At 41.6% G+C, this 7,128-nt stretch overlaps 1 annotated feature.

Moving 5' to 3' along the window:
* Positions 4,052 to 4,236: a silencer, noted in NCBI's record as "fragment chrX:103515830-103516014 (GRCh37/hg19 assembly coordinates)". NCBI's record gives its function as "represses an EF-1alpha promoter that drives an FKBP-Casp9 reporter gene in an ReSE screen in HepG2 liver carcinoma cells {active_cell/tissue: HepG2}" and the evidence as "EXISTENCE:reporter gene assay evidence [ECO:0000049][PMID:32094911]".

Below are 7,128 nucleotides of genomic sequence, written 5' to 3'. Positions count from 1 at the left end.
AAGAAAGAAAAAAAATGGCACATGCAGCTAAGCACTGGAGCCTAAAAAGTTATGACTGTTGCTGTTATTTAAAAACAAACAAACAAACAAACATCTTTCTGATGCAATGACAGAAGCAGAGATTAGAGCAATGCACTTTGAAGGTGGAGTAAGGGGCCACAGGCCAAGCAATATAGACAGTCACTAGAAGTTGAAAAAGACAAGGAAACAGATATTTGGTATTTCCCCCACAGCTTCCAGAAGAAATCAGCCCTACTCACACCTTGACGTTAGCCCAGTGAAACTGACTTCGGAATTACAGCCTCCAGAATTCTAAGAGGATATATTTGTGTTGTTTTAAGCCACTAAATTGTGGTAATCTGTTGTGACAACAATGGAAAACTAATACAGCCTGATAATATCATGTTGTTGGCAAAGATCTAGATCTTTATACTAAGGAAGGCAAAGTGAATTGATATTACTACTGTATAAATATCTTGTAAATTCAACCCGGATTTACAACATAATCCCCAGGGATTCTAATCTTAAGTGTTGACCCAGAAAAACCCTTAAATATGTGACCCAGTAGACATGTATGAAAAGCTTCAAAGAGTTATTGATTGAATAACAAATAATTCTAAACAAATAAAATAACCATAAATCGGATAATAGATAAAGGAATGGTGGTGCATTCAAATAATGTAATAATACATAGCAGTAAAAATGAATAACATCAGCTACTCACACCAAAATGTATACATGTTAGAAATCTGTTAGGTGAAAACAGCATACCTCAGATAAATATAGTGTCATCATTTTTTAAATAAATTGCTTTTTTTTTTTTTTGAGACGGATTTTCGCTCTGTCACCCAGGCTGGAGTGCAATGGCACGATCTTGGCTCACTGCAACCTCCTCCTCCAGGGTTCAAGTGATTCTCCTGCCTCAGCCTCCCAAGTAGCTGGGATTACAGGTGCCCGCCACCACACCCATATAATTTTTGTAGTTTTAGTAGGCACGGGGTTTCACCATGTTGGCCAGGCTGGTCTCGAACTCCTGACCTCAGGTGATCTGCCTGCCTCAGCCTCCCAAAGTGCTAAGATTACAGGTGTGAGCCACTGTGCTCGGCCACGCCTGGCTAATTTTTTAAAACATTTTCTTTTTAGAGACAGGGTCTTGCTATGTTGCCCAGCCTGGTCTCACTCTTGGCCTTAAGCAGTTCTTCCTCCTTGGCCTCCTAAAGTGCTGGGATTACATGCATGAGCCTCTGTGCGTGGTCATGATATAGTTCTGAACTTTAAACCAGGAACTAGAAATTTGGGGCGATGTTTTTTATTTAGTTACTTATTATTTTTTAGGATGGATATATGTATTATTCATTACAAGGGATTGGCTTATGCGATATGGGCATTGGCTAAGCAAGTCCAAAACCATAGGGCAGCAGTCAGGAAGGGGAAATAATGAGCAGTAGGGACCCCTACAGGAATAGGCAGATTCTTTTCTCTCTTCCAGGGAAACTTCAAACCTGCTTTTAAGGCCTTCCAACAAATTCAGTTAGGTTTGCCCAGATTACCCAAGGGGAATTTTCCTTACTTAAAGTCAACTGATTATGGGTTTTAAATATATCTGCAAAATGCCTCCCCAGAAACACCTAGATTAGTTTGATTGAATAACTGGGAACTATAGCCTAGCAGAGTTCCCACATCAATAAAGCCATCACATCTATGAATTTCCCAGCCTCCTGAAGAACTAACACATGGTCAGATTTGAAGCTTTCTCTAAGTTCCTCCCTGTTCATATCCTCCTGCTTCTCTTAAAGAATCACAATATTGAACCACCACATTGAATTAAAATATATATCCTCGGCTGGGGGCAGTGGCTCACACCTGTAATACCAGCACTTTTGGAGGTCTAGGCGGGTAGATGGCTTGAGCCCAAGAGTTCGAGATCAGCCTGGGCAACATAGCGAAACCGCATCCCTAGAAAAAAAATAGCTGGGCATGGTGGCACAAACCTGTAGTCCCAGCTACTTGGGAGGCTGAGGCAAAAGGATCACCTGAGCCCAGGAGGTCAAAGCTGCAGTGAGCTGTGATTGTGCCACTGCACTCTGCTTTGAGCGATAGAGTGAGACCTTGTCTCAAAAACTATCAAAAAAACCCCACCAACCAAGCAAACAAACAAACAAAAATCCTCTTGCTTTTTTCTTTTATCTTGTTTTTGAAATTTATTGAAAAGGCTAGATGTGGTGGCTCATGCCTATAATCCCAGCACTTTGGGGCCAACATGGTGAAACCCCGTTTCTACTAAAAATACAAAAAAATACAAAAAAAAATACAAAATTTAGCCAGGCACAGTGGCATGTGTCTGTAATCCCAGCTACTGGGGAGGCTGAGGTGGGAGAATCGCTTGAACGAGGGAGAATCGCTTGAACCCGGGAGGCAGAGGTTGCAGTAAGCCAAGATGATGCCATTGCACTCCAGCCTGGGCGACACAGCAAGACTCTGTCTCAAAAAAATAAAAAATAAAAAAAAAGCCAGGCATGGTGGTAATCATGCATCTGTAGTCCTAGCTACTTGGGAGGCTGAGGCAGGAGGAGGGCTTGAGCCCAGCAGTTAAAGGCCGCAGTGAGCTATGATGGCACCACTGCACTCCAGCGTGGGCAACAGAGCATGACCTGGTCTCAAAATAAAATAAAATAAAATAAAAAACTATAGAGAAACACATTAAATTTGATTGTAGTAGAGAACAAGAGCCCAGAGGAGCAAGTTCAGTTAGGTGCCACAGCGAATCTGGCTTACGAACATTCATGTCCTCAATCCCTTTCTCCAGACAAACCTTTCAAAGGGCTCCCCACCTATGTGAGTAATCGTCATTTCCCAGGTTAGGGAATCAGGAAAAGAACCACCTGGCTGTTCCCCAGTGTCATGCAGCAATTAAACTAAAACACAGGAGCCTTGGCTTCTGATTCTCAAGGGAAGATTAGGAAAAAAAAAACCCTGAGAACTCAAGAACTAAGATCTTCACATATCAAAATATTCCACTAAAAAATTACCACTTGTCTCAGCTCGAAATTCCTGAAATCCCACCTCCTCCAAAAAGCTTTCCCAGATTGATTAAAGGAAAGTGGATGATTTCTCCAGGTTCCTTGCTTTTGTCCCACCCCATAACAAATTCCCATGAGTCTACAGGAAACCTTATTTGAATGTGCGGTTTTCAAGATTAACTATTCTGACATCTGCATGTCAAAACCTGTGGTCAAAACAAAGAGACATCATATACAATGAGAAGCAAATAACATAATTTTTGTGATATTCCCACCCAAAATGCATAACCTGAAGCTAATCATAAGGAAACATCAGACAAATTCCAATTCAGGGATATTCTGCAAAATAACTGGCATATACTCTTTAAAAACATCAAGGTCATGAAAGACAAAGAAAGACTGAGGAAATATTTCAGATGAAAGGACACTTAAAGGGACACAACAACTAAATGCAATGCAATGAGCGATACTGGATTGGATCCTGTATTTATATTTTCTATGTAGGACCTTGGTGGGATAATTTGCCAATTTGAATAAAGTCTGAAGATTAGAAAATAGTATTGTATCAGTGTCAATATCCTGGTTTTAATAGTTGCATTGTGGTTCTATAAGCATATGTCTTTGTGTCTAGAAAATACACACACAAGTATTAGAGGATAAAAGAGCATCATGAATATAATTTATATTCGAATTAGAAAAATATATACATATTTATAATTACAGAGAGAATGATAAAACTAACGTGGTAAAATTTTAACTTGAAGGAATCTGAGTGAAGAGTATAATGGCAATTATTTGTGCTATCTTTGCAACTTTTCTGTAAATCTGAAATATCCCAAAATTCAAAAGTTTAAAATCCATCTTTGTCCCTCTAGTCTGTTTTAGATGGGAAATCCATACACAAATTATCTTTGGTGCTACTAGAGGTCGCTGCAGTTAGTTTAAAAACATATAATAATTTTAAATTTAAAAAAGTTCACTTTAATTTCAAAAACAGACCTATATCACATAGCATTGTGAGGAGAAAGAGGAAGAGGAAGAGATGCAGAATTCAAAATAAACCTGGTAAGATTATTTCAGGGCTGCTATACCAATCAGCTTGGGAAGCGGTGCCCTAAAGGGAAGAGTGCCATCTACACACAAGTTGCCCTGCCGGGTGCCTAGCAGCTTGCCAAGAACCAGCGTCTATTCTGAGATGTTCCTCCAGAGTGCCAACTTCCATCAAAAGCCATTGCCACAGTATTCCATTTGGCCACCTGAGGGCGTGCTAAAATTACTTTTTGTAATTCAGGGATTTTTCAGCAACTGAGGAAGGTATCTACGTGAGCGCTGAGTCCTGGGAATCTTCAGGTCACTTTGCAGATTCCTCCTGATGGGATAGAAAAGGGATGCAGTGATAGTTCCAACCTTAGCAAAACTGTGATGTCTTCAAAGTTCAGCTTCAGTGTCGGCCTGCATTGCCGGCCCCCTTTTGCCTTATTGCTGGAGTGCTTTCGATTCCCCATACACCCCTTTTTCTTCTTGGCCTCTTTCCCCTTCCTCAAATACTTTTGCCCAAAGCACTCATTTCCACTCATGTGTAAGACTGATAATGATGATAATCACCACAACAGATGTGGGAGTGTAAGAAATTGATAATGATGATAAGCATGATGGCAGAACGTGCCCCTCTCAAGGGAGATTTGAATGTTGAAAAGACTCCATGCCTTAAAGCCTCAAAGCTGATGAAGGAGACTGGGGGGATCATAGGAGCCTTTATTACTCTCCTGAAATGGCACCTTGAGTGCCTAACTCAAGTCTGGTTATCACTCAGGTGGGCAATAAAACAGGGTGGCCGGGACTGGTGAGGAATTAGCGGAGGCAGGAGGCGGGAAGCGGGAGGTGGGGGCTTTAAGTTTCAGGGCTGAAAACTGAGCTCTAGAAGGGCACTGGCTGTGAGATAGAAAGGCAGATGGAGTGAAGAACGGTCACCACTAGGGGATTTAGCAAGTCCCCAGGGTTATCACAACCTAAGAAAAAGTTGAGTAGCACAAGTAGAAAGCATAGATTGCTTACCCTGTTTTAGTCGCCATTCTTCCACCTCCTAAAAGGAGAACCTCCTTTATTTTATTTGTATTGATATATATCAGTTGTATATATTTGGGGGATGCATATGATATTTTGATACTTGTCTACAATGCGTAATCATTAAATCAAGGTAATTGGGATATCCATCACCTCAAACATATATATTTTCTTTGTGTTGGGAACATTACAATTCTTCTCTTCCAGCTGTTTTGAAGTATGCAATATATTTTGCACACCATAATTTCCCTACTGGACTATCAAATACTAGAACTTATTCATTCTATCTAATTGTATTTTTGTACCCATTAACCAACTTATCTTCTTCCCTCCTTCTTCCCTTCCCAGTCTCTGATAACCACCATTCTCTGTAGGAATCTCCTGTATTATAAAGCAGACAGCTCCCTTGGTAGAGCAATCTTGGGGGTTATGACTCCTGGAGAAATGGGGATGTCATGAGATTAAAGTCTATCAAAGGGAACATTCATCCCCTAGAAGAACGTTCTTTTAAAACATCTGGTATCACCATATATTTTAAGAGAAATGGACTATCGATACAGATCCAAAGTCACCAATTTAAAAAATTTTAGATGTAAACTATTTATCCATTCACTAAGTGTAGACCTGGATTTTAGACACCTTTTGTTTTGTTTTGTTTTGTTTTGAGATGAAGTCTCGCGCTGTGGCCCAGGCTGGAGTGCAGTGGCATGATCTTGGCTCACTGCAACCTCCGCCTCCCGGGTTCAAACAATTCTCCTGCCTTAGCCTCCTGAGTAGCTGGGAATACAGGTGTGCACTACTGCACCTGGCTAATTTTTGTATTTTTAGTAGAGACGACGTTTCACTATGTTGGCCTGGCTGGTCTCAAACTCCAGACCATGGGTGATCTGCCCCCCTCAGCCTCCCAAAGTGTTAGGATTACAGGCTTGAGCCACCGTGCCCGGTCTAGACACCTTTTAAGAAGTTCAAGTTAGGTCAATCCGTTTTACTCCAATTGTCTCTGTGAATGAACTTCAGGAATTATCCATCAAATCCTAAGCCCCAGGCTGGTCTTACCTTTCCCCCAGCTCCCACCATCCAACCTCGACTGAGATGCCACTCAGCCTGGAACTGCTGAGATCCCCCTCCAGTGAGGCAAACCAATGTATTTGTTCATGCAAAATAGCGAGGCTGTCTGGTGAAATGTCTTAGACTACAAACACTTGGAGGACAGGAAGTGTGCCTCTTTCATTAAGAAGCCTGTACCTTGTTGTCATTGGATTTCCTGCACTTTGCACATTTCTGGTACTGTGTATTTTGAATTAGTACATGATTATTTAACTCCTAGTTCAAATCACTTTTCTTAAAATACAGGAAGACAAATAGCTAAAACATTGCCCAAGTCAACCACTGGGATTGTACCTGCTTCTGTACTAAAATTTTCCATATTATACACGTTATACCTTAGCTAATTTTTATATACTTATTAGAGATAGGGTTTCACCATGTTGTCCAAGCTGGTCTCGAACTCCTGACCTCGGGTGATCCACCTGCCTTGGCTTCCCAAAGTGCTGGGATTAGAGGCACGAGCCATGGCGCCCAGCTGCCCAGAGAACACATTTTAGAAGCCCCAAGGGCCAGGTGTGGTGGCTTATGCCTATAATCCCAGCACTTAGGGAAGCTGAGGCTGGAGGATCACTTGAGGCCAGGAGTTTGAGACCAGCCTGAGCAACAGAGTGAGATCCCGTGTCTACAAAAAGTAATTTAAAAATTAGGCAGATGTTGTAGTGCACACCTGTAGTCCTAGCTACTTAAGAGGCTGAGGATCGCTTGAGGCCAGGAAGCTAAGGCTGCAATGAGCTGTATTCATGCAACTGCACTCCAGCCCCAAGTCTGTAATTCACCCTCCCTATGACAAACAATCCACAGGCCTCATCTCATGTCTCCTCCTAAGCAGGACCTTGTACCCAACTCATTGGAATACAGTAGTAGTTCCCAAATCTTGCCTCTTTGAGTAAATAAGAGCACAGACAAAATGAGTTACAGTTTTTATTTCCACCCTGCC

This window comes from Homo sapiens, chromosome X (genome assembly GCF_000001405.40).
Source record: "Homo sapiens chromosome X, GRCh38.p14 Primary Assembly".
In the NCBI taxonomy this organism is placed as follows: domain Eukaryota; kingdom Metazoa; phylum Chordata; class Mammalia; order Primates; family Hominidae; genus Homo; species Homo sapiens.
The sequence above is the reverse complement of the archived record's forward strand: the minus strand, read 5'-3'. Positions and strand labels throughout refer to the sequence as shown.